The sequence below is a fragment of the Homo sapiens genome, chromosome 15, assembly GCF_000001405.40.
Source record: "Homo sapiens chromosome 15, GRCh38.p14 Primary Assembly".
Lineage (NCBI taxonomy): Eukaryota > Metazoa > Chordata > Mammalia > Primates > Hominidae > Homo > Homo sapiens.
In genome coordinates, this window is record NC_000015.10 from 83,515,074 (window position 1) to 83,533,458 (window position 18,385).

The 18,385-nt window shown below is 39.5% G+C and overlaps 1 protein-coding gene across 24 annotated transcripts in view, besides 1 other annotated feature; it reads left to right on the forward strand.

Annotated features, from left to right (window-relative positions):
- Positions 1-18,385, forward strand: part of SH3GL3 (SH3 domain containing GRB2 like 3, endophilin A3) — a 186,480-nt gene that overhangs the window by 67,733 nt on the left and 100,362 nt on the right. The window lies entirely within an intron of this gene.
- Positions 14,523-15,023: an enhancer, noted in NCBI's record as "H3K27ac hESC enhancer chr15:84198348-84198848 (GRCh37/hg19 assembly coordinates)". NCBI's record gives its function as "activates a minimal SCP1, AML or CMV promoter by ChIP-STARR-seq in primed H9 embryonic stem cells {active_cell/tissue: H9 hESC(primed)}" and the evidence as "EXISTENCE:reporter gene assay evidence [ECO:0000049][PMID:30033119]".

Sequence of the window (18,385 nt, forward strand, 5' to 3'; positions counted from 1 at the left end):
TTTAGCCCTGGAAGACTGATTTTAGACTTCTGACCTCTAGAGCTGTGAGAAAATAAGTCTGTATTGTTTTGCTACTAAGTTTTTGGTAATTTTTTATAGCAGCCAGAGGAAGCAAATCTACTGGGTGAGTGGATTCTATGCCCGAGTTCATAAGTGAGAGTGAGGCCAAGGCATGAGTTCTGGATTATTGTCATTAGCATTTCAAAGAATTGTCCTCTGGCTCAAATCAGCGGTGTTCACACTTTGCTTAATTGCCTGTGTCTTATTTTGTTCTCCAGCTTTGATCACATGTATGACAAATGGAATCGGAATGAATTGCAGAACTAGCAGGTCGAGTGCTTGACATCACCTCACAGAGATGTCATGGATGCTTTGGGAAGTGCTTTGCTTGACAGTGCCTGGATTTATGTAGCAAGATATTTTGTCCTGGGGTAAAGGGAGCCCATGCAGGTGGGGGGGGAGGGGAAGGGAATGGGAGCTGATGCCTAGGCAGGTTTCTCAAACCTGTGTGAATTAAGGACCCCTCTCCATAAGGGACTTTTTTGGTGTATTGACTTAAATTTAGTTTTATTATATTGCTACTTAAATCTGTATAAACATAAAACTAAGTGTTAATTTATGCTTATAGCTTTAAGACAACTATAAACTCCAAACATTTCAAATTAAATGCAAATAAAATTACAAACCTAATAAAATTCAAATTAACATCACTGAGTTAATGTCATGGATAACGTTTTGCTGATTTTAAATTGATGTTCTCAATGTGTTTTCACACACACTCGTGAAGTTATGGAACATTATCTTTGTTTCTGCTGGACTTGTTTAATTCACTGTAAAAATATCGTTATGTTGAAAGAAACATATACATCACAGTAATAAATTGATTTATCTAGAACAGTTTTCAGACTCTAATGCAAATATTCAGTTGGTTTCATTCCTGGAAAAATAAAAAACAGACCAAGATAAATCATAGTATTTAGTGATGTACACTTAGGGGATTAAAGTCAGTGTAGTAATAGGCTATGAGAGGAGGGGGGAGGGATACATGGGGGGCTTCTGGATTACTGGCAAGGCTCAATTTCATGATGAGCATGCCTTTCTTGAGTCTCTCTTTTTCTGTGAACATAAAACATAAGTGTACTGACTGTTGGATTTTTATAAAGTGAACACTAATGTTACCCCATCAAGGACAAGAACTAGGACATTGCTAGCATCCCAGAAGCTCCCATGTACCCTTTTATAGTTACATACTCCTCTTTCCCAGCAAAATAACGACTATAGTATGTTTTGTGGCAATCACTTATTGCTTTTATCTATAGTTTTACAACCTAAGTAGGTGTATTAGGCCATTCTTGCATTGCTATAAAGAAATACCTGAGACTGGGTAATTTATAAGAAAAGAGATTTAATTGGCTCATGGTTCTGCAGGCTGTACAGGAAGCATGGTGCTGGCATTTGCTTGGGTTCTAGGGAGGCTTCGGGAAGATAACAATCACAGTGGAAGGCGAAGGAGCAGCAGGCACGTCACATGGCAAAGCAGAACAAGGGTGGGGGAAGGTGCCATACACTTTTAAATGACCAGATCTCATGAAAACTCACTATGACCAAGACAGCACCAAGTCATGAGGGGTGTGCCTCATGATCAAACACCTCCCACCAGGCCCCATTTGCAGCATTGGGGATTACAATTGAACATGAGATTTGGGTGGGGACAAATATCCAAACTGTATCAGGAGGCATTCCTAAATACTGTGAATTGAATTTTGCCTATTTTTGAACTTCTAAAATTAGGGCCATATCGTATCTTTTGTGTTTGACTCTTTCAGTCAACATTTTTTTTTTTAAAGATACATCCATGTTGTTCTGTATGACTGTAGTTCATTTTTATGGCAGTATAGAATACCATTGTATAACTATACCATACTTTTTTGAGCTATTTTCCTGTTGGTAGACTTCTGGGGTCTTTTCAGTTTTTGGCTATTACAAATATTGCTGCTATGAACATACTTATACATGTCTCCTAGAAGACTTGTATCTAAAAATAGAATTGATGTGTCATCTGGTGTTCACTGCTAGATGATGACACATTGTTTTCCATGTGACTTTCTTTCTTTTCTTTTTCTTTTCTTTTCTTTTTTTTTTTTTTTTTGAGATGGAGTCTGGCTCTGTCGCCCAGTCTGGAGTGCAGTGGCATAATCTCTGCTCACTGCAAACTCCATCTCCCAGGTTCAAGCAGTTCTTCTGTCTCAGCCACCCGAGTAGCTGGGATTACAGGCCTCCACTACCATGCCTGGCTAATTTTTGTATTTTTTAGTAGAGATGGGATTTCACCATGTTGGCCAGGCTGGTCTTGAACTCCTGACCTCAGGTAATCCACCTGCCTCACCCTCCCAAAGTGCTGGAATTACAGGCGTGAGCCACCATGCCTGGCCATGAGTTTCATTTTAATTTGTGTTTCCCTCATTTTGATTGAGGTTGAGAACCTTTTCGTATATTTATTGGTCATTTGGATTTCCCTTGTTGTGAAAGGTCTGCCCAACTATTTTGTCCATTTTTCTCTTTTTCAGTCTTCTTATTGATTTGTAGAATATATATTCATTCTGGATATAAGCCCTTGTCGGTTTTATGTCAAAATTATTTATTTTGCAGATCTCTCTCTCTTCTTTTAAAAATAATTTTAACCTTTAATTTAGATTCAGGGGGTACATGTGCAGGTTTTTTATATGTGTATATTGCATGACGCTGAGGTTTGGGGTACAGTTAATCATGTCACCCAGGTACTGAGCATATTACTCAAAAGTCAGTTTTTCACCCCTCACCTCCAGTTCTCCCTCCCCCTTCTAGTAGTCCCCATTGTCTATTGTTGCCATCTTTGTGTCCACGAGTACCCAGTGTTTAGCTCCCACTTATAAGTGAGAACATGCAGTATTTGGTTTTCTGTTCCTGTGTTAACTTGCTTAAGATAATGGCCTCTAGCTGCATCTGTGTTGCTGCAAAGGACATTATTTCATTCTTTTTATGGCTGCATAGTATTCCATGGTGTGCAAGTACCACATTTTCTTTATCCAGTCCACTGTCGATGTGAACCTATCTTTGCTATTGTGAATAGTGCTACGAATGAACATACATGTGCATGTGTCCTTTTGGTAGAATGATTTATTTTCCTTTGGGTATATGCCCAGTAATGGGATTGCTGGGTTGAATGGTAGTTTCGTTTTAAGTTCTTTGAGAAATCTCCAAACTGCTTTCCACAGCAGTCGAACTAATTTGCATTCCCACTAACAGTGCATAAGTGTTCTCTTTTCTCCACAGCCTCACCATTATCTGTTGTTTTTTGACTTTTTAATAATAGTCTTTCTGACTGGTGTGAGATGGTATCTCATTGTGGTTTTGATTTGCATTTCTCTGATGATTAGAGATGTGGAGCATTTTTTTTGCATGTTTTTGGTTGCTTGTATGTCTTCTTTTGAAAAGTGTTTATTCATTTATTTTGCTCATTTTTCAATGGGGTTATTTGTTTTTTGCTTGTGCAATTGTTTAAGTTCCTTGTAAATTCTGGATATTAGACCTTTGTTGGATGCATAGTTTGCAAATATTTTCTCCCATTCTGTGGAGTGTCTGTTGACTCTGTTGATAGTTTCTTTTGCTGTGCAGAAGCTCTTTAGTTTAATTAGGTCCCACTGCTCAAGTTTTTGTTTTTGTTGCCACTGCTTTTGAGGACTTAGTCATAAATTCTTTCCTAAGGCTGATGTCCAGAATGGTGTTTCCTGGGTTTTCTTCTAGAATTCTTATAGTTTGAGGTTTTATATTTAAATCTTTAATCCATCTTGAGTTAATTTTTGTATATGGTGGAAGGTGGTGGTCCAGTTTAATTCTTCTGCATGTGGCTAGCCAGCTATCCCTGTAGGTGTGCAGCTTTATTTCTGGGTTGTCTGTTCTGTTCCATTGGTCTACATACCTGTTTTTGTACCAGCACCATGATGTTTTAGTTACTGTAGCCTTATAGTACTGTTTGAAGTCGGGTAATATGATGCCTCCAGCTTTGTTCTTTTTGCTGGTGATTGCTTTGGCTATTTGGGCACTTTTTAGATTCCATATGAACTTTAGAATAGTTTTCTCTAGATCTGTGAAAAATGATGTTGCTAGTTTGATAAGGATGGTGTTGAATCTTTAGATTGCTTTGGGCAGTTTGGACATTTGAACGATATTGATTCTTCCAATCCATGAGCATGGAATGTTTTTCCATTTGTTTGTATCATCTATGATTTCTTTCAGCAGCGTTTTGTACTTCTCCTCGTAGACATATTTCACTTCCTTGGTTAGATGCATTCGTAGGTAATTTTTTGTGTGGCTGTTGTAAACAGGATTGCATTCTTGATTTGGCTCTCAGCTTGAATGTTATTGGAGTATAGAAATGCTACTGATTTTTGCGCATTGATTTTGTATTCTGAAACTTTACTGAAGTTGCTTATCAGTTCTAGGAGCCTTTTGGTGGAGTCTCTAGGGTTTTCTAGGTATAGAATCATGTCATCAGTGAAGAGAAATACTTTCACTTCTTTTCCTATTTGGATTCCTTTTATTTCTTTCTCTTGTCTAATTGCTCTGGCTAGGACTTCCTCTTCCACTCTCTTACTGGTATCTGTTGGTCAGTGGAAGTTCTTAATTTTAGTGTAGTCAAGTTTATCCTTCTTTTCCGTATATGGTAAGTATCTATACGTGTAAGTGTTTATACGTAGCTGTTTTAGACATCTTTTTCAATCCCAGATTATGAAGCTACTCTTTATTTCATCTTCTAAAGCTTTATAGTTTTGTTTTTCACATTTAGTATTGTAAGTCAAGAACTGTGGAGTGTCTGAAATTTTGCCTTACTTGCAAGCTAACAAGTTAGCCTGCCTTAGTGTCACGAATGTTGCCAGAAGACACAAGACTCCGGGTCAGAGGGTCGGAGACAAATGACTTTGCCAGAGTATCGGCATCTTCTTGTGCCAGTTCCCAGAGCCCAAATTCCTACAGAGCAAATGTGTAGAGGGTCAGGTGACTTGTACACCTGGAGTGAACTGTGTTAGAGGTGAGGAGCCCTGAGGCTAGGGAACCCAAATCTTTTATAATGGGCTGTAAGCTTGCCTGACCTTTGCCCAGAGGGAGAAATTGTCTTTATATACTGGACAGTAAACAAGTCTGTCATTTTCCTTGGGGAGAGACACTATATCTTCTAAGACTGTTTGCCATACAAATATCCTTTGAAGAGATAGCAAAGAACAAAAAAAAGCAGAGTGTCTGCCTTCAAGACTTGCAGAAACATGAGGGATTTAGGGAAAACTGTCTCCCCTAAGGTGTAATCCACCTGTTAGTAATTTGCGTGTGGTGAGAGGTAATTTCCGTCATTTTCTATGCTGAAACTCAATTATCCCAGCATCATGCCTTGGAAAAGTGGGAGAAAGCTGTCTTCCAAGAGATAGGTGCTGGTGAATTAGACTGAGGTTGCTGCAGTGGAGGTGAGGAGTGGGTACAGACTGAGCTACATGCTTCAGAGATGACAGAGCTCCATGGGCTGTTGGGTTGTTGAGGAAGGGGCTGAAGGAAGGACAAGTGTCAGGAGTAAGAGTCTTCTTCGTTGAGTCTTAAAATGTATTGTGTCCCTAGAGAGGAAAAACAATCATTTAAAATAGGCCTTTACTGTATTGAATACTGGAAATTTGCTAAGATGGTAGATTTTAGATGCTCTTACCTCTCCCACCCACCCCCACAACACAGATAACTATGTGAGATGACAGATATGTTAATTGGCTTGAGTGTAGTAATCATTTCACTATCTATATGTATATTAAAACATTATGTTGTGTATCTTAAACATATGCAATAAAAATTAAGCAAAAAATAAAAAGGCCCGTATTTCTCTTAACCTGTTAAATACTCGGTATAAATTTGAATTTAGAATCTGAAGTGGATCATGCACCTGGAATTCCTGCGTGTCCAGCTGGCCTCTTTCTGAGGTGTGTTTCCTCTTACTGATATTTATTCTTCCCTTTCCAGTCTGAAAAGCAGTCTCCATGGCAGAATAATTGGTAACCAAATGTAGATCTATCTGCAATGGAAAGTGACATTTTGTGAGCAAAACCTCAACTTTTTAACAAAAGAAAACAAACCGTAGAGCAAAGGAGATTTTCTTTCATTAGCCAGGGTCCAGTTAGGATACAGGAACCGTGCTAAGTATTTCACATGGAAGGGATTTCATACAGGGATCTGGCTATACAGGGTCTGAAAGTTTGAAAAAATTAAAAATGGACACTACCTTTAGGTGCTGGGTGACAAAAGGGAAGAGGTGGCAATATAAAATCTAGGTGCTCAGAGAAGGAGCTACCTTGGATGGTGCTGAGGATGGGGAGGGGAGAGCTGGGAATGGAATGGCCCAGGAGATACCACAGCGCTCCTGCTTTACCCGCTGCTGGAAGGATGACCGTCAAGGCTAAAAGCAGGAACACAGTCCTTTCTTCCCAGCTCCTTCTTTCCACTGTCACAACATAACCAGAAGCCAGCAGCAAGGAAGCCTGAGAAATGTAGATTGCAGAGTAGAATCACTGAGTGGAGGTTGGGGCTGAGAGACAATAGGCAAATAACCAGCACAGAGTCTAAGCAGCAAACCGTTCAGATTAGCTCCTCCTACAACAATGTGAAAATTGGAATGCTCATTTTGTTGCTACTTCTAGGAACTGTGGCCCGTGGGTCAGTTGGGAATTAATGGCAAATAAAGGAGATTCTGGGGCAGTGTTTGCTTATGTGTTGTGTCTGATTAATTTCCAAAATCAAGCTGAATTAATTTTGGATTTATATGCATTCATTTTTGAGGTCAAGGCTAGAGGTCATAATATCTGAGGTCTCATTCTCGCCACTTTTCCTATTGCTGGAATAGTGGTGCTATGTCGGGGAGAGGACACAGAGAGGAACAGGCACTGAGAAAGGGAGGGAAATAGTGGGTTCAGAATTGGGACATCCAGGAGGCAGCTGGAAACGTGAGTCTGGAACTCTTGGGTGAGATTTGGGGCTAAAGATAACAATTTGGGTGCTTGATGGTAAGCACATCCTTTGAGAGTATATGCAGTTTCCCAGGAGAGAATGTGGGAGAAGAGTTGAGGGAAGGGTTGAAAACCTTGGAGGACACCAACATTTTCAAAGTTAGAGGAGCCAGCAGAGGCGAGCTCATCCTAATGGAGATCACTTCGTTCAAGCAGATTATTTGCTTGAAACTTTCATCTTTGGTATTATTTGCACTGTAGTGGAATGAACAACCATAATGTGAGTTTAAAACCCAGATACCAAAATATTGTTTGTTTATAGTCTCCCTCAAACTCCATCTTCCGTAAGTGCTGGTGTGGGGATTATGTACCTCTTCACTTCTCTTCTCTGCACTGTTGATAAAGGAAGAGGCAGGTTTTGCTGACCACATTTTGGCAAATCTGTTGGCTCTTTCTTGGGCATTCCCATGCTCATGGTCACAATACTGTTACTACGTTAATTTAACTCTAGAATTGAGTTTAAGCCACTAATCACAATTTCTTTTTCTTGCTTTGTCATTATAGCTGCTTTTTGAAAAGCAAAATTACTAAATTTCTTAAGTCAATAATTTCAGGTTGATAAAGAAGAGGCAAAATATATGCAGGCTTTAAAACATGCTCTGAGACCACAGAAGGGTCTTTTTCTGATCCAAATATCCTATTAAAACTGTGTGACTATAGGAAAAAGTCTGTGTAGGCTAGAGCAAGTTCAGTTGAAAACCTATTTTTAAAAACACTTAAATAATTACCTTTCATCCTAAATCATAGACATGGTCAGCATTGTAAGAAAAGCTGATACACCCAAATCTGAATATATATGACAAATAGATCATTAACACCCTTTCATTTTACCAAAGTATTCTTTGATAGTGCCTTTAAATAAGCCAGTTTCTAAAGTAAATTTAAAATGTCTTCAATTATAAAAAATAGATTTACATGTGATGTTTCAAGGACATATCTTGTGAAGGAAGTACAGTTGTAAAGTGTTGAGCAAAGTCATGAAAGTTTTCACAAGAAGGAAAAGAATAACATTTATTTCTACCTTTTCTTTTTTCTTATCAGCATCTCAAAATAGACCAACAGTATATTCCATTGTTACTATTTATTTGCTGCAATACAAATGACATCTCATTTGATTTTAGCCCTTTAACCTTGAGCTAAAATGACCCTGTGGAAACAAATGAGCACTGTAGAGACACCTGCCCCTCAGAAGAGTTTGGAAGGGCAGAGTTCTGTGGGAGAGTTTGCCTAGGAAGTGGTGCGGGGTGGGCTGCCCGGGAAGGGTGTGTGGAGTAGAGACCAAGAAGGGGCTGAACGCCATCTCCCAGGAAGCTTCCCAAGACTGACTTTTCTTATATGTGGCCTCCAGGCAGAGGTGGGGAAATCCCCAAGCCTTCCCAGAGGGCAGTGAGGCTTTCTCACCTTAACTTTTGAGTTAGGAATTAGTTCACATTAGCAGTTTTTGGCTCCCTGAGGCTGAGATTGGGGAGCTTTTCTGAAATCATGGAAATTTCTGGCCCTTATCTCTAGATGAAGATCCCACCTTAATTTTATGTATCCAACATAGCCTAAACTATTGTTCTTTTTTTCTGTCTCTGTCTTCCTTTCCCCCTGCCTCCCTCCTTCTCTCTCTTCTTTCTTTCTTTCCTTCTTCTCATTTCCCAGTGGTCTGGTCTCCAAAAACAAATGAATGTGTGAAATCAGTGAGGATTCTTCTCCCTGGAAACAATGTGTTGTTGGCAAAAGCAACAACTGCCTCTGCAAACATCAAAATCCTCCAAAAGAGTGAATGGGGAAGATCATATTTGGTGTTCAGCAATCTAAAAAAAAAAAAAAAAAAAACAGACAGCAAAAACCCAGAGGAAGTGAAGAAAGTTAGTAGGAACTGGTAATACTATACAGATGATTTCTTCTCCACCTGTTTGGAAGTTTTGCTTAAGTCTGGCTTTTCTTGCAGTATTAGGAAGTGAATATGGTTGGTGTAAGAGAAGGTGACAGTGGATACTATACGCAGGGAGCTCTGTGGAGCCTTGCAGCCCTGCAAGTTTTTATTTGCAAGGTGTTGGTTGAATCAGCCTTTCCTCCTAAAAGTTTCAGCACATACAAGTTGCTGACTTATTGGCTGTTTTCTTCTTTTAACCCAAATTCTGTATTCTTAGTTGTGTTGTCATGAAGGATGCATCTTCTCATTTTCAAAGTGAAATCAAATGGATCCATGCCTTTCACATGTAACTTTCTGTTCAACTGCTTAAAATTATTTTTATTGATCCATAACATTTGTACATGTTTATGGAATACATGTAATATTTTGCTACATGCATACTGTAATGGTCAAGCCAGGGTATTTAGGGTATCTATCGCCTTTGTATTTATCATTTCCATGTGTTGGGAACATTTCAGGTCATTCTCTTCTAGCTATTTTGAAACATACAATACATTGTTGTTAATTATAGTCACCCTACTCTGTTATCGAACATTAAAACTTATTCTATCTAACTGTATGTTTGCACTCATTAGCTAACCTTTCTTCATCCCCTCACCCCGCAACACACCCTTCCCAGCATCTAGTAACTGTCATTCTGTTCTGCCTCCATGAGATCAGTTGTTTTAGCTCCCAAATATGAGTGAGAATATATGATGTTTTTCTTTGTGCCTGACTTATTTTACTTGACATAATGACCTCCATTTCCAACCATGTTGCTGCAAATAACAGGATTTTATTCTTTTTTATGGTTGAATAGTATTCCATTGTGTATATATTCCACACTTTCTTTATCCATTTATTTGTTGATGAACACATGATTCTGTGTCTTTGCCATTGTTAATGGTGTTGCAGTAAACATGGGAGTGCATGTATCTCTTTGATATACTGATTTCTTTTCCTTTGAATAAATACCAAATAGTGGGATTGTTGGATTGTATGGTAGTTCTATTTTTAGTTTTTTGAGAAATCTCCATACTGTTTTCCATAATGGCTGTATTAATTTACATTCCCACCAGCAGTGTATGAGAGTTCTCTTTTTTTCATGTTATTAGCGTCTGTTATTTTTTGTCTTTTTGTTGATAGCCATTCGAATTTGATAAGATATCTCTATTGTGTTTTTGATTTGCATTTCCCTGATGATTAGTGATGGTGAGCATTTTTTCATATATCTTTTAGCCACTTGTATATCTTCTTTTGAGAAATGTCTATTCAATATGCTATTTTAAATGAGATTCTTTGTGCGTGTGTGTGTGTGTGTGTGTGTGTGTGTTTTGCTGTGGAGTTGAGTTTCTTTGTAAATTCTGGATATTAGTTTCTTGTTAGATGAATAGTTTGTGAATATGTTCTCCCATTCAACAGGTTGCCTCTTCATTCTGTTGATTGTTTCCTTTGATGTGCAAAAACTTTTTACTTTAATATAGTTCTATTTGTTTAATTCTGTTTTTCTTACCCATGCTTCTGAGATCTTAGCCATAAAATGTTTGCCTAGAACAATGCCCTGGAGTGTTTCCCCTGAGTTTTCTTCTGGTAGTTCATAGTTTGGGGTCTTATGTTTAAGTCTTAAATCTATTTTGAGTTGATTTTGGGATATGGTGAGAGATAGGGATCCAATTTCATTCTTCTGCATATGGATACCGAGTTTTCCGAGCATCATTTATTGAAGAGGGTGTCCTTTCCCCAATGTATGTTCTGGGCATCTCTGTAAAAAATCAGTTGGCTGTACATATGTGGATTTATTTCTGGGTTCTCTATTCGTGTTCTGTTGGTCTGTGTGACTATTTATATGCTGATACCGTGATGCTTTGATTACTATAGTTCTGTAATTTTTTTGACATCAGGTAGTGTGATGCTTCTAGCTTTGTTATTTTTGCTCAGGATTGCATTGGCTATTTGGGCTCTTTTTTGGTTCCATATGAATTTTATGACTGATGTTTCTATTTCTATAAAAAATGTCATTGGTATTTTAATAGGGATTGCACTGAATATGTAGATTGCTTTAGGTAGTATGTTCATTTTAACAGTACTAATTCTTCCTGGCTATTATTAAAAAGTCAAAAAAATCACAGATGCTGGTGAGGTTGAGGAGAAAAAGGAACACTTATATACTGTTGGTGGAATTAGTTCAATCATTGTGGAAAGCAGTGTGGTGATTCCTCAGAGAGCTAAAAATAGAGCTGCCATTTGGCCCAGCAATCCCATTACTGGGGTATATCCAGATAAACATAAATTGTTCTATCATAAAGACACATGCACACATATGTTCAATGCAACACTATTTGCAATAGCAAAGGCATGGAATCAACCTAAATGCCCATCAGTGCTAGATTGAATAAAGAAAATGTGGTACATACATACCACGGAATACAATGCAGCCTTAAAAAAGAGTGAGATCATGTCATTTGCAGGAGCATAAATGGAGCTGGAGGCCATTATCGTTAACAAAGTAACACAGGAACAAAAAACCAAAAACTGCATGTTCCCACTCATGAGTGGGAGCTAAATGATGAGAACACATGGACTCTTAGAGGGGAACAGCAGACACTGGGCCTTCCAGAGGGTGGAGGGTTGAAGGAAGGAGAGGATCAGGAAAAATAACTAATGGGTACTAGGCTTAATACTTGGGTGATGAAATAATCTGTACAAAAAACCCCTGTGACAGGAGTTTGTCATATAACAAACCTGCACATGTACCCCTGAACTTAAAAAAAACCAAACCATATTAATTCTTCTAACTCATGATCATAGGATGTCTTTCCATTTGCTTGTGTCCTCTTCAATTTCTTTCATCAATGTTTTGTAATTTTCCTTGTAGAGATCTTTCACCTCCTTGGTTAAATGTATTCCTAGGTATTTCTTTGGTAACTATTGTAAATGGGATTGCCTTCTTGATTTCTTTTTCAGCTATTTATTATAGGCGTAAAGAAATGCTACTGATTTTTGCAGGTTGATTTTGTAGCCTGAAACTGTACTGAATTTATCAGATCTTAGAGTTTTTTGGTGTAGTCTTTAGGTTTTTCTAAATATAAGATTTTGTCATCTGTAAAGAGAAACAGTTTGACTTCCTCTTTTCCAATTTGGATGTAGCTATTGGATGAAATGTTCTGTAAATGTCTGTTAGGTTCATTTGGTCTAAAGTGTAGTTTAAATCCAATGTTTCTTTGTTAATTTTTTGCCTAGATAATCTGTCTAATGTTGATAGTGGGATAAAGTCTTCCACTATTATTGTATTGGAGTCTAACTCTCCCTTTAGATATAATAATATTTGCTTTATATATCTGGGTGCTTCGGTTTTGGTGCACATACATTTAGATTTATTATTTCATTTTCTTTATTGATCCCCTTATCATTATATAATGATGTTCTTTGTTTCCTTTTACTGTTTTTGACTTAAAGTCTGTTTTATCTGACATAAATATAGCCATTCCTGCTCACTTTTGGTTTCTGTTTGTGCAGAATACCTTTTTCCATCCCTTTACTTTTAGTTTATATGTGTCTTTACAGGTGAAATGAGTTTCTTATGGGTGGCATATAGTTGGCTAATGTTTTTTAATTCAGCCAGTCTATATTTTTTAAGTGGAATATTTACTCTGTTTACTTTCAAGGTTATTATTGATATGCGAGGACTTATTGTCATAATTTTGTTAATTGTCATTTGGTTTTGTGGTTCTTTGTTCCTTTCTTTCTCTCTTAGTGTTTATCATTGCCACTTGCAGGTCTTCTGTAGTGGTAACATTTGAATCTCTTTTTTTTTCCTCATTTGGGTGTTTGCTCTACCAGTGAGTTTTATTCTTTTGTGTGTTTTCATGATGGTAGATATCATACTCTCACTTCCAGATTTAGGGCTCCGTTAAGCATTTCTTACAGAGCTGGACTAGTGGTGATGAATTATCTTGTTTTTGCTTGTCTGGAAAAGACTTTATTTCTCCTTATTTTATGAAGGATAACTTTGCTAGGTATAGTATTTTTGGCTGTCAGCTTTTTTCTCTTTCAGCACTTTGAACATAAACCTCAAGCTTATTCTCTCCTTGCTTGTAATCTTTCTGCTTAGAAATCTGCTATTAGTCTGATGGGGGGCAGTTCCCTTATGTGACTAGATGCTTTTCTCTTGATGTTTTTAGAAATCTCTGTCTATCTTTGGCTTTTGACAGTATGCTACAGAGAAGACCTTTTTAGGTTATATCCATATCTATTTGGGGATCTCTGAGATTCCTGTATCTGGATGTCTTAATCTCTTGCTAGACTTGGGAAGTTTTCAGCTGTTATTTTGTTGAATACGTTTTCTATGCCTTTGTCTTTCTCTTCATTTTCTGGATCATCCAGAATTTGAATATTTGGTCACTTTATGGCATCCCATATGTCATGTAGGCTTTGTTGATTCTTATTCATTCCTTTTTCCTTTTTCTTTTTTGTCTGATTGGGTTATTTCAAAACATTTGTCTTTAAGTTCTGGAATTCGTATGCTTAATCTAGTCTATTGTTGAACCTCTTGAATAAATTTTTTATTTCATATATTGAATTCTTCAGTTCCAGGATTTCTGTTTTGTTCTTTTTTTCATATCTGTCTCTTTAGTGAATTTCTCATTCACATTCTGAATTGTTTTTCTGGTATCTTTGTATTGTTTATCTGTGTGCTGTTGTGTCTTACTGAGCTTCCTTAATAACATTATTTTGATTTTTTTCTGATATTTAAAAAATTTCTATTTCATTGGAATCTGTTGCTAGAAAACTATTGTGTTCCTTTGGAGGTGTCATATTTCCTTGCTCTTTCATGTTTCTTGTGTTTTTATGTTGATATCTGCACATCTGATGTAACAGTCACTTCTTCCATTTTTTTGGATTGGCTTTAGAGGGGGAAGACTTTTTCCTGAAGATGTGTTTATGTTGATGGTTAGGTATAGTGCCTTAGCTTTGATTCTGGGTGCAGGCATTGGTGTAGTCTCGGTATGATTTATTTGATTGTGAACAGCATGGTGTCTGTGATTGTCTCAGTGGCCTGGCTGTGGTTGTTAGTGGATGCTGTGGTGATGCTTTGCTGGGGATGCCTTTGCTGGCCCCAGCAGGTGGGCCAGTCCTTTGTGCCCAGTGGTGGCAGTGGTGGGCCAATTATGCCAGCCATTAGGCTGCTGGGCAGTGTACATGGGCACCAGTGTTAGCAGATCCAGGCAGGCTGATTCTTGGGCCTCCAGGTGGCTTGCTCAGATTCCAGCAGTGGCAGCAGTGGGCTGGATGAGTGGGCAGGTCCTGGGGCCCCTGGGCAGTGTGTGTGGCATGGGAGATAGTAGTACCAGTGGCAGGACAACCCTTAGGCTTCCAGGCAGTTAGTGATGTTAGTGATGGTTGTGATGGGCTGGGTGGCCCCTCCTCAGGTCCCCAGGAGTACAAAGATACCAGTGGTGGTGGACTGGGTAGAGTGATCCGCAGGCCCCTGGGTGATGTACTCAGGCACTCAAGTCAGGGGTGGTTGTGCCAGGCTAGGTGGTCCTGTCCTTAACCTTCTGATGGTATGCACGAGTGCAGGCTGTGGTGGGACAATCTGTGGTGGTGGGTGGGGAGAGCTTGTCCCCAAGGTGCAGATAAGTGCGCAGCATCCCTGCTGCTCAGTGGGTGGGGCGGGGGTGGGGTGGCTGTTAGTGGGAGTGACCCTAGGCATTTGGGCAGCTTTCAGGCTCTTGGGAGTGTACACATTAGTCCTTAGCAGCAGCAGTAACAGCAATGATGACAGTGGGCAGGGAGCCTGTCCTCAGAGTGCATGCTAGTGCATAGTGGCCACGCAGGCAAACAGCTGTCAGGCTTTGGGGAACATGCACATTGGCTCCCCTTGTTTCAGCAGCACAGCAGCAGCTTCCCTGGTGTGCCACACCACCCATTCCCTGTGGTGTGGGACTCTTGAGTGGGCTAGAGTGCTAGGGACCCTGCTGCACTGCTGGGTCCAGCCAGCATCATGCTACTGCAGTCCTCCAGTGTAGGGGGTTGTTAGTGGTGCTTCAGGGATGTCGAGATGCAGGGGCTATGGCATCCCAGGGCAGGATGCCCTGGTTGAGGTTAGGCACTCAGAATGGTGCTGTTCTGCAGTTGCTTAGGTATCAGGGGAGTGTGTAGAGCACTGTTAGTTCTCTTTCTGGAGCAAGGCCTTTGCACAATCTCTAGGCAGCTCCCTGTGCTAGTCTCAGGGCCCAGGAGGATAGAGAGGCTCTTCCATGGCTAAGATGACAGGAGTCAATGGTGGGAATGTGGACTTCTTGGGATCTCTTACCCTTTCCCTGCACCGGGAACCTCTCCAGGCTTCTAGCTGATGCCAGCTGAACTGGCCGCCTTGCTTTCCCTTACTTTCTGTGCCTCAGGTGTTTCCTGTCACTTCTCTGCTAAATTCCAGTGTTTTCTTTTAGATGTTCTATTTGAAATGTGATTATCTATTTCCTATTTTGGTTCTTTTTTGGGGAGGTGGTGAGTGCCAGATACCTCTAGTCAGTCATTTTGAACCTCCCCGGCCCCTCCTCAGGTCAACTGTTTTTTTTTTTAATAAGAGGATTTTTGCCCCTTAATTTTCTGGGATTATGTCCCATATAATTCTTGTAAGGCAATCTAGACAAAATTTTCAGTCATTAATTTTGTGCTTTTTTTCTTATGTTGAAACTACTAAAACAACAGGTTGGCTTTTCTTCAGTTAATCATCATGATTCATCTTTTCCATTATTTGTTAATTTGCCATCTAGCAATTGTATGATGACAAATTCTTTTTTACCTTTTAAACTTTACTGAAGGCACCTAGGCCAGGAGATCACATGGTTAGAGACATTACATTTATTTCCTTCCAACACAAAGAAAGACAGCAAATAGTAACAACCCCCCACCCACACCTATACCCAAGCAAAACAATATTATCATGTTTGCTATCCTACAAGATCCAATTTCCCTTGACTTTTATTGGAGAAAAGTGTCAGTACTAGAAATTCAAACAGAATCCTTAACATGCCCACAGATTATTTCAGGGATCCTTCAGTTCATTTTCTTGAGCAGTAGCTGGTCAGAGGGCCTACTACTTTGTGTGCACCATTCTAGTGCTGAGGATACCATAATGAGTAATATTCATGAGTAAGACCGTAATGAATATAAGACCCTGTCCCCAGGCATCTCATAGGCCACTGTGGGAAGCACATCAATAAATTTCAGCGCAGAATGGTTAAGTGCTGTGTAAGCTTTTAATGTATTCAGGAGATCTGCAGAAGGGGCACCCAACTAGGTCTGAGGAGTCCTAATGACCTTTGAAGGCTGTGTAGGAGTTAGCTATATGGAAAAACTTCCAGGCAATGGGAACAGCATATAAAACGGCAGAAAGGAACAGGGTGATTCTGAGTGACCAAGAGTTTAGGAATGGAGAAGTGTGAGGTGTTTATGAGGAGGGCAATGAATGAGGCTGGAGAGAGGTAAGTGGCAGGCAGATCGTGGAAGGATGGTACACTGTGTTGAGTATGGATTTTATTTTAAAGGTGATGGAATCACTGAATCACTTTGGGGAATAGCATTATTCAACGGGTGTTTTGGATAACTCATTGGCAGTTGTATGGAGGAAGAATTTGAGGAGTCAGTTAGGAGGCTGTTAGAGCAGTTCAGAGATGAGATGACAGTAGCCTGGACTGAGGATATGTTCATGGGAATGGAGAAAATAAAATGGAATCAAGAGATGTTTGGGATGTAGAGTGGATAACACTTGGGGTGGTGTGTGTGTGTCTGAGAGAGAGAGAGACAGAATGAGAGAGAGAGAGAGAGATGAGAGAGATGGAAGACATATATGTTAGGGAACTCTATGCAGCATTTGTGGCTCTGAAGGTTTTTATTTGGAAGGTGTTGATTGAATCTGTCTTTTTTTCTGAAAACTTCAGCATGTACAAGTTGCTGACTTATTGGCTGTTTTTAAAAACATCTGAATTCTATATATACTTCTGAGAGTCCATTACATTTTTCTTAGGTCTAGGACAGCTTTTAGTTTCCAGACTATCAACTGTGTGGGTGGTGATTCCACTAATTGAGAGAAGGGAAGATAGGCAAATAAGTAGAATGATGAGTTTGTAAATTGTGTTTGAGGTATCTTTGGAATATCTAAAGAAAATTTCCAAAAGGCAATTGGATGTGAAAAAATTGAAGTTTGAGAAGTTTGGGTTGGAGTTATGGATTTTCAAGTCAGTAGCAAAATAGGTGATTAACGAGTTCATGGTAATAGACAAAATCATCCCAGGAGATTATTTAGGGCAAACATGATAGAAGGCCAAGGTTGTAACACTAATTGAGAAAAAGAAATTATAAAGGTAATTGAGAAGTGTCTAAGGAGGAAGGGGATGATATTTAGACTGCAGAGGCCAAGGGAAGGGGTGGTTTCAAGGTGGGAGTGGACAGTAGATTTAGAATGTCTCAGATCATCTAAGCTAGGAGCCTGAATTTATCCTGGGTATGAAGGAATTGGATGGTCATTAATGACAGCAGTTTTAATGGAGCCAGATTGTAAGGTGTATCAGTTAGGAATGAGTTTGGCTGCAAGTTAAAGAAAACCTAACCATAGTGGCTTACAGATCTAGGCTTATTTTTCTCATCTAGCATGAAGTCCAGAGATGGGAGGCTGCTGGTGTTTGTTCAAGAACTTAATGATCATCAGGGTCTTCTTGCAATTCTCGAAGCTTATTCCTTATAATCTCAAGCTGATTGATGCAGCCTCATACATGTTCATGTTCAAGATAGGAAGAAGGGAGGAAGAGTGGCATCTTCAAATCAGGAAACCAGTAATTTCCAAGAAATCCCCACCTGCAGCTAACTACTTAGGTCTCATTGCCCATAATGAGACATATGACTACCTGTAGTCACAAGGAATGCTGGGAAAGCAGGGAATGTTCTGGCATAGTGATCATTGCCTGGGCTGGGCCCATTGACACTGTATGCAAAATTTGGGTTCTGTTAGTGAGGAAGAGGAGAGTGTTTATTGAGTGGCCAGCTAACAGTGTTGGACTTACATAGGTTGAGAAATGAATGGGAAGTGAGAAAATGGGGACAGTCCATGTCTATGACACCTTAAGAGGCAGTTCTGAGGAGTATGGACTAGAAAGGGTGGTAGCCAGAGTAGAATATGGGGAAATAATGGAAGGTTACATTCTAGAATATGAAAGGCTTGAGTACATGTAAATGTTGATGTGAGTGGGAGAGATTGAAGATGCACCGGAGCTTTCACACCCCAGGACAATACCTAGAGACTTGGGATGGGTGAGGGCTGTGCTTTTCTATTGTAAAATGGCAGAAGGGGTTCATATAGGAGCTTCTGAAGACAAATCGGTTAATAGGAAAGAGCATATACAGAGGCTTAGGA